Consider the following 22,263-nt stretch of genomic DNA (forward strand, 5'->3'; position numbering starts at 1 on the left):
CATTTTTTGAGATCTTTAGCATTTCCATAATAAATTCTAGGGAGTCTTTGTGGATTCTGGATTTTGCAAATATTCTGAATAAATATTGCAAATAGTGTTGTCTCTTCCTTCAAATTTAGTTTACTGTATCTTTCGTATAAATACATTTTTATTACATGTTAATATTCATCAGTAATTTCTTCTATTTTCTATATAAATAATTATAGAATAAATGCTTAATCAAAATCAGCTGGGTGTAGTGGCTCATGCCTGTAATCCCAGCAATTTGGGAGGCTGAGGCAGGTGGATCACTTGAAGTCAGGATTTCAAGATGAGCCTGGCCAACATGGTAAAACCCTGTCTCTACTAAAAAAAAAAAAAAAGGTAGAAAGATTAGCCAGGCACAGTGCGGGGGCACCTGTAATCCCAGCTACTTGGGAGGCTGAGGGAGGAGAATCCCTTGAACCCAGGAGGCAGAGATTGCAGTGAGCTGAGATCACGCCATTGCACTCCAGCCTGGGTGACAGAGTGAGATTATGCTTCAAAAAACAAAAACAAAAACAAAACAAAATTAGCTTTATTTGTTTCTATTAAAAGAAAAATGAAAACTGTTCTAGAATAAAATCAAATAAGGCGACTATCCTTGAATAAAGGAAAACAACCAGTTTTTGGCCTTAACCATTTGAAGGCTCTGCATGTAATTGTTTAGACAATGCGGATAAGGCCAAAATGAATCGAAAGAGAACTTGAACAGGTGTTTAAATATATCTGCTTTCATTTGTAATGGTCAAGAGACAAGACCTCTTATTCTAACTTTGTCTTGTAATTTATTTATATTTATCTTAGAAATATAAAAACATTGAACTCTCTTAAGAGTTCAAAAATTAAAAGCAATTAGAGCTTGTATTTTAAAAATAGCACTGACAAATTAGAGTCATGGTAATGCTTAAATGGCTCTTTTAGGATGTAAAACTTTGCATACTTTGTTGTTAAATAGCTGATTTAATGCTAAAATACATTTCTGTTTTAAAACTCTTGTAATCTCATGCATCAATTGTTTAAGTTCCACTAATGCAATAAATAGAAGAATAAAGTATTTGTTGAGATAATGAAATTCTGATTTAAAATATACCAGTGATTTTCTTTGGACCTTGAAGAGACCGCTTATAAATTATACAGCAAAATTAGTTTTATTCATATTTAAAATTTAGGATATGGATAGAAGCATGGTTTGGGGCAGGGACAGATCACTTTAAGAAAGCCAGGTCTGCCATTTGGGCAAGTTATTTAACCCTCTCAGTCTCATTTCCTTTATTTGTAAAATGGAGATAATAATAACTTACATTATAGCACAATTTGGAGGATTAAGATGCACTTAGAACAATGCCTGATGCATAATAATAAATGCTAATTATTCATATATTTATTAATTTGTTTTAAAATTGGTTCTCTTATTTTGTTGCATCAACATTTAAAGGATGATTTACTTTAAAAGCTATTTCTATTAATTATAAAATACCATTTGGCAATTGACAAACTTTTCCATGTCTTCTGATGAACCAGAGTACTGGACTAAGGAAAAACAAAACAAAACAAAACACCATTACTAAATTAAATTGACCTGAATTCTAAGTAAAGGGTAAGTTTTGACAGGAGATAAGTTCATATAATTTCACTTACTGTTCAGTCAGTTTTGTTAGTTCTCGCAGAATTAGACAATTTTGCTCTTGCCTTGGTGTGAATAACTAATTGCAGTAATTAACCTAACTTTAAAATGCACATGCAAGTGGCTTCCAAATTTTCTTTAAGGCCTTAACCCTCAAAGTATCTAAAACATCCATCCCAACTGGAATGATCTACTTAGGTCATCTCTGAATGACAGGTGGTCTAATGCAAAAACTAACGAATCTCTGAACACTGGGGTAAAACAGATTATAAGCCTACATTTATCCTTAAGAAGTAATTCAGAAAGATATTTCAAAGCTTATCAATATTATGTTGGATATATTTTTTCTTTTATTATTCTATTCAAGATATAATTTTTCTATGTAAGGAGTTACACTATTTCTATACGATATATATTAGAGGTAATTTTGGAGCTATGATTGTGTTAGAATAATAGAGAAAAATGGCTAATAGGGGATACTTCTGACTTCCATATGAATTTAATTTGTGAGATCTTTGCTCTCCAAGAAAAAGTAAACTTCTTCCAGTCATTTACTCTAGAGCCATACTCCGTCCCCTCAGAGTTGGGGAGGGTAATTTTCCAGTGTCTATCATGTGTGGCATCACGTTTCCCATTACTCCACCTCTCTAGTGAGGCTCAAAAACTTGACACAACATGACTAACAGGATGATGGTTGAAGATGTGGAGGGCTGAAGGGACTCTTACTCATTAAAAAGGAGTAGAGAAAGAAGAATGTGGAATAACATGCCTTGATAAGATGACTCAACTTAAAACACACCAGTTTGAAGAATGAGGAGGACAACATAACAGCGATAATTAGGTTGGAACAAAGAAATCTGTTGAGAGAAAAGGAGATCTCTCAAAACCTTTATGAGAAATTCTTCATCAGGAAAAGAAAACTGTTTTGAGTTAGAAGAAAAAAATGTTTTAAAGTGAGATATGTTGATTCTTTTCTCTGATTTAAACCTATTATTGCTAGTGGGAAAAGCAAGTAACAAGGAAAGCTGCAAAATCTAGGGAAATGACAAGAATTTACATGAGTCCACAGCACAGTTGTTTCAGGGCAATTTTTTTGCCGGTTGTTTATCCACTAGTATTCTGAAAGGTGATATGATTCATCTTTGAAAAGAAGTTTGTGTGAATCATGTTTTACAGTCTCTTTATTTGTAATCTGTGAATTTGCCCTTTCATCTGACACCATTGTTACTTCGAATAGGGAAAAAAGCAAAAGTTTCTAGGGTTGGAAGGATAGAATGTTAACAAATGGAGAATCTCAGCAAGAACTCTTGCTTTTATAAGAACTAGGACTATTAAAATATCATGGTTTATTTAAGTGAGTGTGAAGACTGAAGTAGAAGTCTGACTTTAGAAACTGCAGAAAAATAGAAGAGGTAATTTGTATTAGTCATTCATAGTCCTGATAGAAGACAGATAGCAAAATCTAATCTAAAAATTAATATTTAATAAACGAACTATTTGTGAAGATATTATAAGATTAATAAGAACTATCAAGATTATCTAAATTATTTGGAGCTGAAATCACCCTTTGGCTTGAGAAACAATGGGGGGGAACAGTCATTGAGACCCAGAAAGAGAAGCTGTAGCTGTAATACATGCATTCCTCACTGAAAGAAGCTGTGGCCTTTGGCAGAGAGACACGGCCATACTGTGATGACCCTGCAGGGAGGGAGGGAGTAGAAATAAATATTTTCCAATTCTTCTATTGGGGCCAGAAAACAATGCTCCCAAAATATGATGCTTTGGCATGCTGCAAGGACTTCTTGACCTCTTCCCATCCCCACCGCCAACACAGGGTGAAATTCTATGCTAATATTTCCTTATCTACCTTAAGTCCAGACTGCCAAAGAGAACACAATTGCTTCTATCCCCTTGCTGAAATGTCATATTATCTATCACATCAAAGAAGACAGTAATGTAATCACATTTAGATGAACTTTGTTCAAATTCCAAAGAGAATCATTTACAAGCTAATTTGTGTCTTCTGAGTTCATTCATTCCCCCTACAAATTGCCCCCTACCCCTTAAAATTACACTTCCCCCTATCTCCTTTCCCTCTGTAAAGAAGGGTATATAAGCATCTGGACCTCAGCAGGTTATTCTGTAATCATGCTCTTGTGATTCCCTTTTGCTTATACACATTGAAAACATGTGTATGCCTTTTTGTCCTATTAATCTGCCTAGTGTCAGTTTATTTTCAGTGAACCTTTAGAGGGCAGAGGGGAAGTTTTCTCTGAGCCCTACACTCACATCTCTTGCCAATGCTTCCCATACGTTAAACAAAATTGGAAACCAGAAGTTAAGAGAGCCCTTTCATGTAGTCCACAGAGTTAGCTCCACATGACACAGAGAATAATGGTGGAGTGATCAAGCAGATCTTGAGAGAAAACAGAAAATATACAGAAAATATAAACCAAATGTCTAATGATACACAGCCAGGATATACTGTTATTGAAGAATTTTTTTTCTTTGATAGGTGTCCTTATAGGTGTTGAGAACACAAAGGTGAAAAAGTAAATCATAGCCCCTGCCTTCCTCAGAGCATGTATTTAATATAATGTGTGCATGTACCTATGTGTGTTCACACTTGTATCATTTACCTGGATAATATACATGCATGTAGCCAGATAAAATCTTGAAATAAGTATTTTTATGTTTTTCATTCTCATTCACGATTCACAAATCTTCCTCTGGTAGACAGAAAAAATTATCATGCCTGAAGGCAGATTAGATGTGTTACAGCAGGAATACAGGGAGGAAGCTAATATATGGTTTGTTTTTGTTTAATTCCTTTTTTATTTTTAAGCAAGGAATTGAAATCAAAAGGGGAAGATACTGAGGGGAGAGGAGATTTCAGACAATGTCGTAACAAGATAGGAATACAAAAAATGGGAGATGAAAACAACTTGGCCCTTACCATTACTCCCAAAATAGGTTCCCAGGGCTGTAAAGAGAGTGACATGATGGTAGATCCTGACCACTAAAGAGAGATGGAAGGAGTAGAAATAAATATGTTGAGACAGCTGAGCACATTTTGGTCAGTGCCAGGATTCTTCCTTTATACTGAGCATGACTGTAGACCATGTTTTATCATTCAAGTGAACATATAGCATCCTCCTTGTGAGAACACAGAAGCCAGTTATATAGTTGTTGGGTGAAGATTTTAGTAGCTCCCTATATTTTTGCTGCCTGTGGGGCCTGATTATTGCCTGGCAAAAAAAAAATTTCTTTATGTCTTCTGAAATTTTGCTCAGCACTCATCAACTCTTCTTTATGTCAGTAGTCCAAAAATTTTCCAAAACATCAGATGAAGTTCTTGAAGCACTCATGAATGAACAGTAATAATATAACGTTTAGTTGTATGTGTTAATTTGACTTGGCTAAGGAATGCCCACAAAGCTGGTAAAACATTATTTCAAGGTATGTCTGTGAAATGTTTCTGTAAGAGAGTAACATACGAATTGGTCGATAGAGCAAAAGAGATCTGCCCTTCCTACCAAGAAGCGCAGGAATCCTTCCTTCTTAGTTTTACGTGAAAGAAAATTCAGCAAAGGGACTAATTTAGCTTTAAAAAAAGGAGAGGGAGTTCATTGAAGGAAAATAGAGGACAGAGAGTTTACTTAGAGAGTACACTCTGAAAACATGAAGCAGAGTGGGCTGCTGAAAGGGAGTGAGCCAGCAGCACCTTGCATTGGGTTTTCATATCGAATTTTTTCTTGAAGTTCCCACCTCTGTCTTAAAGTCTCTGCCTTTTTTTGGTCTAGTTTTTCTTCTCTTGCCTTAAGTCCCCATGTTTTCTTCCTCCTAGTTCCCACCACAAGCTTGTGGTATGCTCCCTTAGTGCACATGCATGGCCTGGTGTTGGATCAAATCGTGCCTGCATATTTCTTAGGAATCTTCTCCTTTGCCCTCTTTCCCTAATTAGCAGGCACCTAGTGACATTCTGACGTTGTAACTGCAGAGTGAATAATTACTGGGCCTCTTAATGGGCATTCCTTCCTGCAAATGTATTTCCCCTCCTCTCTGCCTAGCATGCATGTTCTGGGTGGTCGCTGGAGTCTGAGATTATCTAGACCTCCATTTTCTCAGGGGCTCCTCGCTTCTCCTATGTCTCACTCTCTGCCTACTCTGACACTCTCACCAATGTGGATAGGCATCATCCAATCCACTGAGGGCCTCAACAGAACAAAAGAGCAGGAGAAGCCCAAATTAATCTCTCTACTTGAGCAAGGACATTCATCTTCTCCTGCCCTTGGCTACCAGCACTCTTGGTTCTGGGGCATGCAAACTCAGACTGAGAGTCACACTATTTAACTTCCCTGATTCTCAGGCCTTTGGATTTGGGAACTGGAATTACATCACTGGCTTTCTCAGTCGTCCATCTTACACACAGAACATCATGGGACTTCTCAGCTTCCATAATCAACTCAGCCAACCCTTATAGTAAGTTCTTCTCTGTATATCGATAGATAGATAGATAGATAGATAGATAGATAGATAGATAGATAGATAGATAGATGGATGTACTGTTGGTTCTTTCTCTGGAGAACCCAGAGTAATACAATATGGAAAAAAACCTTTTCAGCTGCAGAAACTCCCCAGTTTGGAGAGGCATGTGAGAGGGTATATGTAAAATAACTGTTGATGCTGAGAATGTGGCATCCTTAGAGTTTCGGAAATTGTAATTACATATATAATTTAGTTAATAGAAATTGTATGTACTTTTTCTTGCTTTTTAGTTGTCATATTTCTAGAAAACATCTTTATTATTCTCTATATATGCATTGTTGTTTTGATATTAATTGAAAACATTTTTATCTTTATTTTTCAGAATTTCTTAAAAGCAAAGAAACAAAGAAGTCTTCAGTTGTTTTAGTAAAAAGAACGATTTAGAGGTTTTGGAGCAGTCACAACTGAATTTGAATTCCGGATTGGATAATTTGTTACCTTTGCAATTTTCAGTTAATTAACTTTCATGAACGTTAGGGGGATTTTTTTTGTTGTTTTTTTAAAATAAGGGTAATAATGCAAAATGTGGATGGATATTGGACACATTAAATGTGTATAAAAATTTCCTAAGCCTACCACTCCACCATTCTCCCTTAAACTTACCATCATCAATCTGGCAATATTTTCTTGGGTAATATCAAACAGTATACGACCCAAGAACTGCTATAATTGCTACAATTTTCTCTATCCAATTCCAGATGGCCTGAAAATTTATTCTATCATTCCTGAGGGCCTCAGCAAGTTAGAGATATGAAAGCTTGAAAGAATACAAAGCTGTTTGCTCCATATCTTGCTGCCTCTTGTCTTAGTTCACATCTTGAAAACAGAAAATATTGCCTACACCCACTGTGACTTTTTTTTTCTAAGATCCCTTCCAGACACAAAAACTAAAAATCTCAGTTTCTTTTCACTTGCTCTCATACTAACGATGCTTCATAAACGCAGCAAATTTTGGAGAAAATCAAAGTTTAAAATGAAAACTATGTTTCACCCATCTGTGTCTAACTATGAAAATGTAAATGTAAAATACAGTAAATTGGATAAAGTAAATCCAGATTACTTTAGCAGGTAAATAGAAGGAAATAAGAGGTTTGTTTTATTGTTAATTTTCCATCAGTATTTTAGATAATTGATTTCACAAAAGCTGGAATATAAAACTTGGCCATAACATTGTCATGAAAATTATAAAATTAATGATGTAAAAAATGACCTCATAAATACTGTCATGTAAGGATATTCAAACCTAACTCACAGGAAATGACAAAGAAACATTAAGCTCTAAGTCAGATTCCAGGAGAACACCATATATTATGTTATTAAATATTATTGGTTTCCTGAAAGCCTTATATGAGGCACTTGTTCCACATTCTTCAAGAGCAGACAAGCTCCTGAAGTGCCCTCCCAATTCAATATTCCTGAGGGTATTTTAGACACTCAGACACAATGTTAAATTCATTACATTGTATAAACTCTTGAATAAAGAATGCATATTATCTAGTTAATTTTTTACTGAGAACCCTAACTTTAGAAGTAAACAAGGAAGCAAATGATAATGCTAAATATTCTATAAATAAGATATTTAAATAAGAATAGCCTCTTAATTAATTAAATTATTTTAAAGAAAAAATGTAGAAAGACTCTATTTTCGCCTGCTGCGGTGGCTCACGCCTGTAATCCCAGTACATTGGGAGCCGAGGCGGGCGGATCACAGGGTCAGAAGATGGAGACCATCCTGGCCAACATAGTGAAACACCGTCTCTACTAAAAATACAAAAAAATTAGCTGGGTGTGGCGGCACGTGCCTGTAGTCCCAGCTAGTCGGGAGGCTGAGGCAGGAGAATCGCTTGAACCTGGTAGGCGGAGGTTGCAGTGAGCCAAGATCGTGCCACTGCACTCCATCCTGGTGACAGAGTAAGACTCTATCAAAAAAAAAAAAAAAAAGAAAGAGCCTATTTTCAGATATTTAATATACAGTTATTTTTTAAAATTAGTTATATAGGTTTTTAAATTGACAGATAAAATGTATATATTTATGGTGCGGAACACAATGTTTTGGTATTTATATATTGTGGAATGGCTAAATCAAGCTAGTTAACATATAAATACCTCACACACTTTTTTTTTTTTTTTTTAGTGGTAAGAACACTTTAAGCAATGTTCACGTACTCAACACATTGTAATTATAGTTACATGTTATCATTATAATGATAATAAGTCTCTTGAATTTATTCATCTGATACACAGTTACTTATACAAACATTTACACATGTGCACACACACTCATACACATGTATGTAAGGTAAAGATGTATTTATGTGAAAGTCAAGAGGTTTAGAGAAAATATATTAACTCAGCAAAAAGAATGGATAAAATGTATTAACTTAGCAAAAAGAATCTTTCCTAATCTCCTGGTTTTGATATTGTAGTTTATGCAAGATGCTACCATTGGTTTAGGTTGGCTGAAGAATGCTTAGGATCTTCCTGCACATTTCTCTGAATTTGCTGTGAATCTATAGTTCAAAATAAATGTTTTATTAAGATTGAATATAGTTGGGCTAAAATGATATTTTCAAGTGCAATGAGCATTTGGAGGGAAATTATACTATGGTTGTGAAACAAAATAGTATTAAATGTGAGTTGAAAATGGATAAATTATTACAGCTACTAAATTTGACCATAGGGTTTAACATAGGAAGTAAAAAATCCATATAAATTTAAAAGTCCAATCTTGTGTAAGAATGAAAGATTGCCTTATGTGTTTATCTGGAGTTTATGGATATAATCATAATCTAGAACTTTTTGTGGGAAACATCGTAGAAAAAGAATAAGAACACTTAATTTGTGAAACTGCATGAAAAACATTTTCTAGAGAAAATTTAAAGCAGGATTATAAAAAACTTATTCCATTTCCCTCTTTCATTAGAAAGTTCATTTTGATTGTTTAGTAATATAATGAATGTTTTGAGTACAGTAAACATCTTGAGGCTAGATAATGAACTTATAAAATGGACTACCCCTTTGTCACACTTTATTCATCTGAAATCTAGGACAGTACTATTTTTCAAAGTATTATTTTTGTATGCTATAGTGCTACAAAATATTTGTTAACATTAATATATAAACTAAAAGAAACAGAGAAACATCTCTTAAAGTGGTTTGAAAAATCCTTTATGAAGCACACCAGAGACACACTTTAAAACTGTATAAAAGAATGAAATATAATAGCATAAGTTGATTTTAGATATTTTCAAAATTTAAGAAAAAAATAAGATATATGCAAACACAAATAATGTAGTTTTGTTTTTTTCAAACTTTTATTTGAAGTTCAATATGGTCTGTACAAAAGAAATGGAGTGAGTGGTAAAATTAGTGATTTTTAAATCCATTCCTGGGGAGTAAACAGGATTTCCATAATGCTCTGAAAGTATAGCTTTAAGGTATCATGAAAGAAAGGGCATGAAGTCACAAAGCCATTTATATAATCTCCTTCCAATCTATTAGCCATGATTTCTCCTCTTAATTTCTCTTCCATAGTGTACATTGTCAGGACAATATTTAATCTCAATTTCATGTTTTCTGATTATCACTCCACTCTGTTTATTCCGGTTAGTAAGTAGGAAATTCTGATTGAGTTACTTGTAAAATTTTTGCTAGTTTCTTTGTGAGCTTTTCAGTCCACTCTGCTTGAAAAAAGGAACAGTAGTTCTCCACATAAAGGACATTTGGGCAGCTTTGGAAACTTACGCACACATTAATATAGAAGAGTTGGAAAGAACTGCAATTGAACTGCTGAGATAATTCCTGTCAGCTGCAGCACTCAGAACTGGCTTGTGTCCCTCTGACGCCTTCTGGTCCTGTAGTCTCACTGAAGGCAGTGTTCTGCACATTATCTTTGATCCAGTTCTGCTTGAATGATTTTGGATAAAGATGGAACATTTTCTCACTCTTCAGAATTTTACTGTTACACTTGCTGCTCAAACTATGGAGTTATTTATTTGTCTTTTAACTATGAGGTAGTAATAAATTATGAGCTTAAAATTCACAAAACACATTTTCATTTCTAAGAATGGAAACAATCTATAGTGTCTAGACATAATAATCCAATGAGTCCTAGTATTTTTCAGTGTTTAAATAACAAAATTGAGATAGATAATCATTAGAATATATACCACTGTCTTGCAAAACACAAAAGACTCAGTGGCTTAAACAACAGAAATTTCTCAGTTCTGCAGGCAGAAAGTTCATAATCAGTGTGCTAGAATGGTTGGTGTCTTTCCCAGGTTTTGGACAGCCACCTTCTCATTGGGTCCTCATGGGGAAAAAAAGAGAGAAAGAGAGAGAACCATCTTTCTGGTGTCTTTTCTAATAAGGGCACTAATCCCATCATGAAGGCCCCACCCTTATGACTTGATTCTCCCTGAATAACTTCCCAAGGCCTCATCTCCAAATATCACCACATAGAAGGTTAGGATTCCATATACAAACTTCTGGGGACTGCAGATATTTAGTTCACAACATCTACCATATTAGCAATCTCTTTTAAGAAACATGTTTTAACAAAGAATAGGATATTTTTAAGAGTCCAGAGAAGTAGTATTCATAATACTCATAGCACTTGACAATGCTTTTAAGGGTACCACATCATTTTATATTGAAAATAAAATTCTGTGAGTTTATTAAGGGCTGATAAGTAATTGTGATATTGGCTTCCAGGGAATACTAGCAGAGATGAAAAATCTACCTGCTCCTTACCGTTGAAACTTGCTCTGAAAGGTACTGTGACTTGGTCACCATGCTACTGAGATATGATCCCTGATTTCCTCACTCCAGACCTCATGCTGACTTTGAGGACCCTTATGCTCCTGAATAACATTCGGCTCTTCAATAATAAAATATGTCCTTCAGCATTTGTATTTTTTCCTTCAGCTTTTCTTTTATGATAAGCAATGGGAAAAAGTTTTGGCTAGACACTGGAAATACACATTTTTCTAAATTTTATTTAGAACTATTATTTTTCCTTTAGTTACTAGTATTTTGAATAGTACTTTTTGGGCAATAATAATCTATCTAAAAATTTCAGGGTTACAGCTTTCTGGTAAGCTACTATGAGTGGGTAGCAAGATTTTCTAACACGTTTCACAAGGATGTTTTATGTGGCTAGCAGGAAATTCTCATTGTTCCGCTAAAAAGCTTGCAAAAAGGGAGGCAAAAATGTGAAAACCTAAATGTCACATATTTTTTCTATTTCTTGTCTCAGTATCCCTCTAGAATTTTCAGATTTATTTCTCCCAATATGCAGGACTTCAAATTAAACAATGAACATTTCACTAGAAATCTAATCTACTTTAATTCACAGGGTGCCTGAAAAGAGCACAATTTTGAAGTCAGAGAGCATTTGGTTTGATATCTGATTCCATATCTTAAGGGACAATTTAGTTGATTTTCCACTGAAAACCTGAATTTATAAAGAATGTTTACTCAAACATTTACTATGTAGAATTGAGGCAAAGGTTAAATGGATTAAATGACATATCTCATTGGATAGTAATTATAAGGTAGAAAAGGTTATTAGTTAATAACATTACTAAAATTTTAGTACAAGCTTCTCTCTTGTGTATGACATTGCTTTGGGGCCAGTATATTGCTTTCAGTTTTTGAAGAGTTAAGATTCAGAAATTTGGAGTCACAATCTAAAAACATTATCACAGGTAAGTCAGGGGTGAATAGTCAGTATATTTGAAATATTCATTATACGTATATTGTTATGAATAAAACCAGAAAAGGCGGCTAGTGTTGATGTGAACATCTACTTTAATGAGGTCTTAAGCCTTTTAGAAAAATATAATTTCTAGCCTATGCTGCATAATGATTAATGGCTATGTTGAATGTTCACTCCAGTAGTTTTACCCGTATATTTATAATTTCACTTGGTTGAAATTTACAGCTATCGTCAGTAGGTGTCTCAGGGTCAGAAAGGAAACATAAGCCTGTCATCATTATATGCCAGAGAACAGCTAGGTTAAAGGCATGCCAGCATGAGATATCAAGAGTTTTTGAGATTAGGAATTTATCTGGAGTGACATTTTTATATTATTATTTTATACTGACATATATGAAGTGATAGTAAAGTGACACCAACAGATAAACCTATCTGCATGCTTTCTTATTGAAGTACTACTTATGAGTAATGCCACCAATATTTAATGTCTGCTTTGGTCACAGTTTTAAGTCTGACAGAGGCTCTTTCAAACATAAAAAGATTCTCTTTAAGATGGAGTTCAGTTCCTCAATTTGCAAACATTCATGTTTTTACATCTCAGCTCTAGAACTTATAAGTATACTGTACTTCAAAAATAGGCTGGAGGGGTGAATTGTGAAATATGTTCAACTTGAAGCTGATCAAAGTGAGCCTAACATACAGCAGGATGGTAATTAATTTGGAAGGGGTGGAACGGGATGAAGCTTTCAGATCTATGTGTAACTTATGAATTTTATCCACATCCTTCCAAGCCTGTTTATAAGCAAGTGAATAAAGAAATTAATGTAATTATGTCAGGATGTTTTTCCCTGCTGATTTTGATTTGCTGCGCATTTACAGTAAAAACTATTAATTGAAGAAGCCTAGTGGCTAATGTTATGCATAAAAATAGATTTATTTCTCATATCACTCTGTGTATATTTATTCCCTGGCATTTAAAAGAAAATATATTCTGGAGAAATTAAAGACATTTTGTTTTAAAAATGTTTTATAACGACTACTGGTGAGAATGAAATGATTTTTAACAATTTCTTCATAGGTTTTAAATTCTATTTATTAAGCTATGTTGCAACTGAAAGATTGGCCCTATATATACTTTTTAAGAGGTTTAACATGTTGAAGATGAGGATTTGGACATGTAAAGTATAATCAGTGTCAAAATTTCACATAACAAAATGTAGGAAAGAGAGCAAATGAATAATGAAAAATAGCATTTTTAATGTGTAAATTAAGGTAGAAATACCAAATACAAACTAAATTACTGCATTTTACTGTACTTAGTTACTGATGTTTTATATTTTGGTGCATATCTTCCTATTACTTATTTTGTTAAATTTCTTTGTTCTGCTTCTGTCTCATTTATCTATCTCTATAAGTCTCAGGTCATACTACATTTAGGTTTCTATATTCTTTAATTTAAATATGTTATATCTTGTAACCCTATTTCTGTGCTAATACATTATTTTTGAAATATGTAGTTTTAATAAAAATAGATATATATCATTATATTTAACTTTGTGCAAAGCATAGAAAGCATTGTGCAAATTGCATACCAAAGTTTTTTTTAAAATTGTGCAAATTGTTGTTTAGATCCTCAGGATCAATTTCTACATTTAAAATGGCTAAATTAAGGCATGGATATAATGTCCCTAAAAACTGTAGGCTTCTTTGTATTTCATCCACAGTCTGCAAGAATTTTCATTTTATCACGTTGTTATACTTAACATTTATTTTAAGCTTTAACAATTTGATAGCATAAAAATAGTATAATTTTAATATTTTTAGTAAGACAGAGCACAAAATACTATTCTTAAGTGTTACTCTTGTTCAGAATTGCCTTTTAATATAATTTGCTTATCACTTTATTATGCCTTTTAAAGGGTATATCTATGATTGACAGCAATATAAACACATAATTTACAAGTTCTATGAAGAACTTCAGAGAATTAGCTGTTAGGCTGGAAATACTATTATCTAATTCATTTGTGTGTTAGGGTTTTCCAGAGAAATGGAACCAGTAGAATATATGCAGTGTGTGTGTCTGTGTGTGTGTGTGTGTGTAAGATAAAAATGAATAGTTTTAAAGTATACTTTCACATTATAGAAAGTAGTCTTCTCTCTCCCATTTCACAGAAACAAATATTGAAGGTATTCATCAAATTCCTCTTCCTGAGGTTTTTCTTCTGTTTTTGATAGTTGGATTTTCTAAAGTTCAGATTCTGAAGTGCTTTCTTATCAGAGTTTTTATTTACATAATATTTTGATTTCTTTGGAGAAAAATGTAGTTTATTATTTTTCTTGGAGGTCTCTCAGATAATTCAGATAATAATCTGAATTCTATATGTGATGAATCTTCACAGTCTTTTTTCAGTTTTTTTCTTCCATTCCCATAATGCTCATGGACTCAGAGGAATGCTTTCCTATAAAAGCAGTAAGAACAGAGTAATTTTCCCCTGTATTAAAAAGAAATGGAATTTGGGTGCCCAGGATGTCCAGAGTTATCTAGGACTCCTCAATAGTAATGATGATGTTCCTGGACAGGGGTGGTGAGGAAGGCCCCAGGTCTCTTCAGACTTCATCTAATTTCTTCTTTTGTACTTCTAGAATTTGGACTGACTGAACCCCTCAGTGGGAGTGGGGACACTCAATTCTCCAGCGTAAGGGGTTGTGACTGCTGCCTTCGCATTGATGGCAGGGACCTGGTGGAGATTTAGTATAGTCCTTTGCCCAGCGCCCAATTTTCTTGCAATTGAACCAAGAGCCTTTGCTAGCATTATCATTATGGCCCTCTGAGTTTCCCTTGAATGCTCTTTGGGCATTCAGGACATCAGCAATGATGGCTGACATAATTTTGGCTTGCCAGTTTTCTTTATTCTGTTTCCTTTTTTCTCCCTCCAGGTCACAATTGTTATACACCATAAGGTGGTATCAAGAAGCTGCTCTTGAAGTATTATAATTTACTGCCCATCTGTAGCTTTTGGTGCTGATGTCTAATGTCTATGGTGGATTGGCTAATAAAATGCTGTGCCATTAATATTTTGCCTTTGGAAGAGGAAGGGTCCAGGTTGTGTGTGTGTGTGTGTGTGTGTGTGTATTCGAGATGGAGTCTTGCTCTGTCACCCAGGATGGAGTGCAGTGGTTTCATCTCAACTCACTGCAACCTCTGCCTCCAAGGTTCAAGCGATTATCCAGTCTCAGCCCCCCAAGACGCTGGGATTACAGGAGCCTGCCACCGTGCCCAGCTAATTTCTGTGTTTTTAGGAGACACAGGGTTTCATCATGTTGGCCAGGCTGGTCTCCAACTCCTAACCTCAAGAGGAGTGCCTTGGCCTCCCAAAGTGCTGGGATTACAGGTGTGAGCCACCTGCCTGGCCCAGATTGGTACCTTTTTTAAATGCTTCCTCCAACCTGCCATAAAACATGGTTGTATTTTCCTTCTTGCCTTGTGTAACCTCCTTACTTTATCACAATTTACTGCCTTAGTTATTCCCTTTTTCATTCCTCCAAGGAGAGTCTCAAAAAATTAAGCCCAGTTAGTTGTTCATTCCCATGGGGGTGTCAGAGTCCCAATTAGGATCAGTAGCAGGAACTGCGTCTGGGCCTATATGATTGCCCTGAGGGTTTTGGACAAATAAGTCATCTGCTTCCCAGCAAATCACCTCAAAGTTTCATTCCTTTTCCAAGGGAAGGGGGGTGCCACAGGTTGCTAGAATGAATTGAACATCTCTTGATGAGAGATTAAAGGCTAAGGTCAAAGTTTAGAACTCATCTACAAATTTCCTGGGGTTCTCAGCATACCTTACTAGCTTTTCTTTACACTGTTGTATGTCAGTTATAGAGAAGAGGGCCTGCACTCAGACTGGCCTCTCAGCTCCTGCTACTTTCCTAAGGGATAGCAGGGCTAAAGGGGTACTTAAATAGGGTGTTTCCCTCTGAATGTGAGAAGAACTTTGCAGGCTTCTTGGTTTTTGCTCTTGGGTTTGAGCCTCAGGAACACTTGGCAAAGGGTTATGTGAGGGTGGTTGCTGTTCCCCCTGAGAGACACACAGCTCTTGTAAAGTGAGGTCATCTACAACATCTAGTTCTGACTTAGGACTTTCATTTGGGGGACTTTCATTTCTGGGAGTTTTGCAGATTGTTGGGTTTTGGAATAGGGTAATGAAGGCCTGTATACATGGGATTTCTGATCATTTATCCTGCCTTTTGGAAAATAGGTCTAATTGCGGGATGGTGTTATAATTAAGGCTACCATTGACCACCCATTGCTTGTGACTGTTCAACTGATATTGGGGCCATACGGTATATGCAGTAAAACATCAAATTTTTTTTCCTTATATTGTCAGGGTCAAATTGATTCCAGTGGTTCAGGATGAAGCCACATAGGGAATAAAGTGGAATGGATGGTTGCCCATAATAGTCTGGAAGAAGAGGACTTTGAAAAATGGAGGGCTTATTAGATTACCCAAATTTTACCTGGGGCATCCCTCTGGAAAAACTCTGGGTCTTGTCTGCGGTCTCTAGGGGCATCCTGGGCCCCATCTTCTCAGACATCTTTGACCTTAGATGGGTGACAGCACCACTTTGGAATGGTTCTCTCCACCACTGATGACCCACCAGAGCTTTCTTTCTTGTCCTTGGATGAAGGCCTTGACTTCTAGCATCCTTATAGTTTGGTAAGGCCATGCTTTCCATTTTAACTTTATCCAATATGTTCACAGGCAGAATCTCTTCTACAATTAATTTTCATAAACCTATAACTTGTTCAAACCTTTGGATTTTCCCATCTTACTTAAAACAGTTCTTTAACCCTCTAAACTTAGGCAAGATAAATGTCATCAAAAAAGACAACTGCATGCTTCTTTTTAAGATTATTGCTTTATATGGTACAATTTTTGGAAACTTCTGCCACCATCTTGTTATCAACCCAAGGATGAAACATTTAACCTAGAGTAAGGTTGATCAAGGGACTCACTGGGAAATAGAGCCAGACTGTGAACTGTATTAAACTCAAGGGACCTTCTACCTATGAATTTCTTGTCGTATGAAATACTAAGTTTCCCTATCTTTATGCTAGTTAGAATCAAGGATTTTTCTATTTTTGAATCCAAACACTTCTTTATTTTATTTATTTTATTTATTTATTTATTTATTTATTTATTTGGTATGCCTTTTTTTTGTTTTGTTTTGTTTTTTATTATACTTTAAGTTTTAGGGTACATGTGCACATAGTGCAGGTTAGTTACATATGTATACATGTGCCATGCTGGTGCGCTGCACCCACTAACTCGTCATCTAGCATTAGGTATATCTCCCAATGCTATCCCTCCCCCCTCCCACCACCGCACCACAGTCCCCAGAGTGTGATATTCCCCTTCCTGTGTCCATGTGATCTCATTGTTCAGTTCCCACCTAAGAGTGAGAATATGCGGTGTTTGGTTTTTTGATCTTGCGATAGTTTACTGAGAATGATGATTTCCAATTTCATCCATGTCCCTACAAAGGACATGAACTCATCATTTTCTATGGCTGCATAGTATTCCATGGTGTATATGTGCCACATTTTCTTAATCCAGTCTATCATTGTTGGACATTTGGGTTGGTTCCAAGTCTTTGCTATTGTGAATAATGCCGCAATAAACATACGTGTGCATGTGTCTTTAGAGCAGCATGATTCATAGTCATTTGGGTATATACCCACTAATGGGATGGCTGGGTCAAATGGTAATTCTAGTTCTAGATCCCTGAGGAATCGCCACACTGACTTCCACAATGGTTGAACTAGTTTACAGTCCCACCAACAGTGTAAAAGTGTTCCTATTTCTCCACATCCTCTCCAGCACCTGTTGTTTCCTGACTTTTTAATGATTGCCATTCTAACTGGTATGAGATGGTATCTCATAATGGTTTTGATTTGCATTTCTCTCATGGCCAGTGATGATGAGCATTTTTTCATGTGTTTTTTGGCTCCATAAATGTCTTCTTTTGAGAAGTGTCTGTTCATGTCCTTCGCCCACTTTTTGATGGGGTTGTTTGTTTTTTTCTTGTAATTTGTTTGAGTTCACTGTAGATTCTGGATATTAGCCCTTTGTCAGATGAGTAGGTTGCGAAAATCTTCTCCCATTTTGTAGGTTGCCTGTTCACTCTGATGGTAGTTTGTTTTGCTGTGCAGAAGCTCTTTAGTTTAATTAGATCCCATTTGTCAATTTTGGCTTTTGTTGCCATTGCTTTTGGTGTTTTGGACATGAAGTCCTTGCCCATGCCTATGTCCTGAATGGTAATGCCTAGGTTTTCTTCTAGGGTTTTTAAGGTTTTAGGTCTAACGTTTAAGCCTTTAATCCATCTTGAATTGATTTTTGTATAAGGTGTAAGGAAGGGATCCAGTTTCAGCTTCCTACATATGGCTAGCCAGTTTTCCCAGCACCATTTATTAAATAGGGAATCCTTTCCCCATTGCTTGTTTTTCTCAGGTTTGTCAAAGATCAGATAGTTGTAGGTATGCGGCATTATTTCTGAGGGCTCTGTTCTGTTCCATTGATCTATATCTCTGTTTTGGTACCAGTACCATGCTGTTTTGGTTACTGTAGCCTTGTAGTATAGTTTGAAGTCAGGTAGTGTGATTCCTCCAGCTTTGTTCTTTTGGCTTAGGATTGACTTGGCAATGCGGGCTCTTTTTTGGTTCCATATGAACTTTAAAGTAGTTTTTTCCAATTCTGTGAAGAAAGTCATTGGTAGCTTGATGGGATGGCATTGAATCTGTAAATCACCTTGGGCAGTATGGCCATTTTCACGATATTGATTCTTCCTACCCATGAGCATGGAATGTTCTTCCATTTGTTTGTATCCTCTTTTATTTCCTTGAGCAGTGGTTTGTAGTTCTCCCTGAAGAGGTGCTTCACATCCCTTGTAAGTTGGATTCCTAGGTATTTTATTCTCTTTGAAGCAATTGTGAATGGGAGTTCACTCATGATTTGGCTCTCTGTTTGTCTGTTGTTGGTGTATAAGAATGCTTGTGATTTTTGTACATTGATTTTGTATCCTGAGACTTTGCTGAAGTTGCTTATCAGCTTAAGGAGATTTTGGGCTGAGACAATGGGGTTTTCTAGATATATAATCATGTCGTCTGCAAACAGGGACAATTTGACTTCCTCTTTTCCTAATTGAATACCCTTTATTTCCTTCTCCTGCCTAATTGCCCTGGCCAGAACTTCCAACACTATGTTGAATAGGAGTGGTGAGAGAGGGCATCCCTGTCTTGTGCCAGTTTTCAAAGGGAATGCTTCCAGTTTTTGCCCATTCAGTATGATATTGCCTGTGGGTTTGTCATAGATAGCTCTTATTATTTTGAAATACGTCCCATCAATACCTAATTTATTGAGAGTTTTTAGCATGAAGGGTTGTTGAATTTTGTCAAAGGCTTTTTCTGCATCTATTGAGATAATCATGTGGTTTTTGTCTTTGGTTCTGTTTATATGCTGGATTACATTTATTGATTTGCGCATATTTGAACCAGCCTTGCATCCCAGGGATGAAGCCCACTTGATCATGGTGGATAAGCTTTTTGATGTGCTGCTGGATTCGGTTTGCCAGTATTTTATTGAGGATTTTTGCATCAATGTTCATCAAGGATATTGGTCTAAAATTCTCTTTTTTGGTTGTGTCTCTGCCCGGCTTTGGTATCAGAATGATGCTGGCCTCATAAAATGAGTTAGGGAGGATTCCCTCTTTTTCTATTGATTGGAATAGTTACAGAAGGAATGGCACCAGTTCCTCCTTGTACCTCTGGTAGAATTCGGCTGTGAATCCATCTGGTCCTGGACTCTTTTTGGTTGGTAAACTATTGATTATTGCCACAATTTCAGCTCCTGTTATTGGTCTATTCAGAGATTCAACTTCTTCCTGGTTTAGTCTTGGGAGAGTGTATGTGTTGAGGAATTTATCCATTTCTTCTAGATTTTCTAGTTTATTTGTGTAGAGGTGCTTGTAGTATTCTCTGATGGTAGTCTGTATTTCTGTGGGATCGGTGGTGATATCCCCTTTATAATTTTTTATTGTGTCTATTTGATTCTTCTCTCTTTTTTTCTTTATTAGTCTTGCTAGCGGTCTATCAATTTTTTTGATCCTTTCAAAAAACCAGCTCCTGGATTCATTGAATTTTTGAAGGGTTTTTTGTGTCTCTATTTCCTTCAGTTCTGCTCTGATTTTAGTTATTTCTTGCCTTCTGCTAGCTTTTGAATGTGTTTGCTCTTGCTTTTCTAGTTCTTTTAATTGTGATGTTAGGGTGTCAATTTTGGATCTTTCCTGCTTTCTCTTGTGGGCATTTAGTGCTATAAATTTCCCTCTACACACTGCTTTGAATGTGTCCCAGAGATTCTGGTATGTTGTGTCTTTGTTCTCGTTGGTTTCAAAGAACATCTTTATTTCTGCCTTCATTTCATTATGTACCCAGTAGTCATTCAGGAGCAGGTTGTTCAGTTTCCATGTAGTTGTGCAGCTTTGAGTGGGATTCTTAATCCTGAGTTCTAGTTTGATTGCATTGTGGTCTGAGAGATAGTTTGTTATAATTTCTGTTCTTTTACATTTGCTGAGGAGAGCTTTACTTCCAAGTATGTGGTCAATTTTGGAATAGGTGTGGTGTGGTGCTGAAAAAAATGTATATTCTGTTGATTTGGGGTGGAGAGTTCTGTAGATGTCTATTAGGTCTGCTTGGTGCAGAGCTGAGTTCAATTCCTGGGTATCCTTGTTGACTTTCTGTCTCGTTGATCCATCTAATGTTGACAGTGGGGTGTTAAAGTCTCCCATTATTAATGTGTGGGAGTCTAAGTCTCTTTGCAGGTCACTCAGGACTTGCTTTATGAATCTGGGTGCTCCCATATTGGGTGTATATATATTTAGGATAGTTAGCTCTTCTTGTTGAATTGATCCCTTTACCATTATGTAATGGCCTTCTTTGTCTCTTTTGATCTTTGTTGGTTTCAAGTCTGTTTTATCAGAGACTAGGATTGCAACCCCTGCCTTTTTTTGTTTTCCATTTGCTTGGTAGATCTTCCTCCATCCTTTTATTTTGAGCCTATGTGTGTCTCTGCACGTGAGATGGGTTTCCTGAATACAGCACACTGATGGATCTTGACTCTTTATCCAATTTGCCAGTCTGTGTCTTTTAATTGGAGAATTTAGTCCATTTATATTTAAAGTTAATATTGTTATGTGTGAATTTGATCCTGTCATTATGATGTTAGCTGGTGATTTTGCTCGTTAGTTGATGCAGTTTCTTCCTAGTCTTGATGGTCTTTACATTTTGGCATGATTTTGCAGCGGCTGGTACTGGTTGTTCCTTTCCATGTTTAGCACTTCCTTCAGGAGCTCTTTTAGGGCAGGCCTAGTGGTGACAAAATCGGTCAGCATTTGCTTGTCTGTAAAGTATTTTATTTCTCCTTCACTTATGAAGCTTAGTTTGGCTGGATATGAAATTCTGGGTTGAAAATTCTTTTCTTTAAGAATGTTGAATATTGGCCCCCACTCTCTTCTGGCTTGTAGGGTTTCTGCCGAGTGATCCACTGTTAGTCTGATGGGCTTCCCTTTGAGGGTAACCCGACCTTTCTCTCTGGCTGCCCTTAACATTTTTTCCTTCATTTCAACTTTGGTGAATCTGACAATTATGTGTCTTGGAGTTGCTCTTCTCGAGGAGTATCTTTGTGGCGTTCTCTGTATTTCCTGAATCTGAACGTTGGCCTGCCTTGCTAGATTGGGGAAGTTCTCCTGGATAATACCCTGCAGAGTGTTTTCCAACTTGGTTCCATTCTCCCCATCACTTTCAGGTACACCAATCAGATGTAGATTTGGTCTTTTCACATAGTCCCATATTTCTTGGAGGCTTTGCTCATTTCTTTTTATTCTTTTTTCTCTAAACTTCCCTTCTTGCTTCATTTTCATTCATTTCATCTTCCATTGCTGATACCCTTTCTTCCAGTTGATCGCATCGGCTCCTGAGGCTTCTGCATTCTTCACGTAGTTCTCGAGCCTTGGTTTTCAGTTCCATCAGCTCCTTTAAGCACTTCTCTGTATTGGTTATTCTAGTTATACATTCTTCTAAATTTTTTTCAAAGTTTTCAACTTCTTTGCCTTTGGTTTGAATGTCCTCCCGTAGCTCAGAGTAATTTGATCGTCTGAAGCCTTCTTCTCTCAGCTCGTCAAAGTCATTCTCCATCCAGCTTTGTTCTGTTGCTGGTGAGGAACTGCGTTCCTTTGGAGGAGGAGAGACGCTCTGCATTTTAGAGTTTCCAGTTTTTCTGTTCTGTTTTTTCCCCATCTTTGT

At 36.2% G+C, this 22,263-nt stretch overlaps 1 annotated feature.

The window, feature by feature from the left end:
- Window positions 592-761: an enhancer, noted in NCBI's record as "experimental_66079 CRE fragment used in MPRA reporter constructs". NCBI's record gives its function as "activates a minimal promoter by MPRAs in K562 erythroleukemia cells, with activity observed for both the introgressed and non-introgressed 3:162107198 variant alleles {active_cell/tissue: K562}" and the evidence as "EXISTENCE:reporter gene assay evidence [ECO:0000049][PMID:34662402]".

This window comes from Homo sapiens, chromosome 3 (assembly GCF_000001405.40).
Source record: "Homo sapiens chromosome 3, GRCh38.p14 Primary Assembly".
Lineage (NCBI taxonomy): Eukaryota > Metazoa > Chordata > Mammalia > Primates > Hominidae > Homo > Homo sapiens.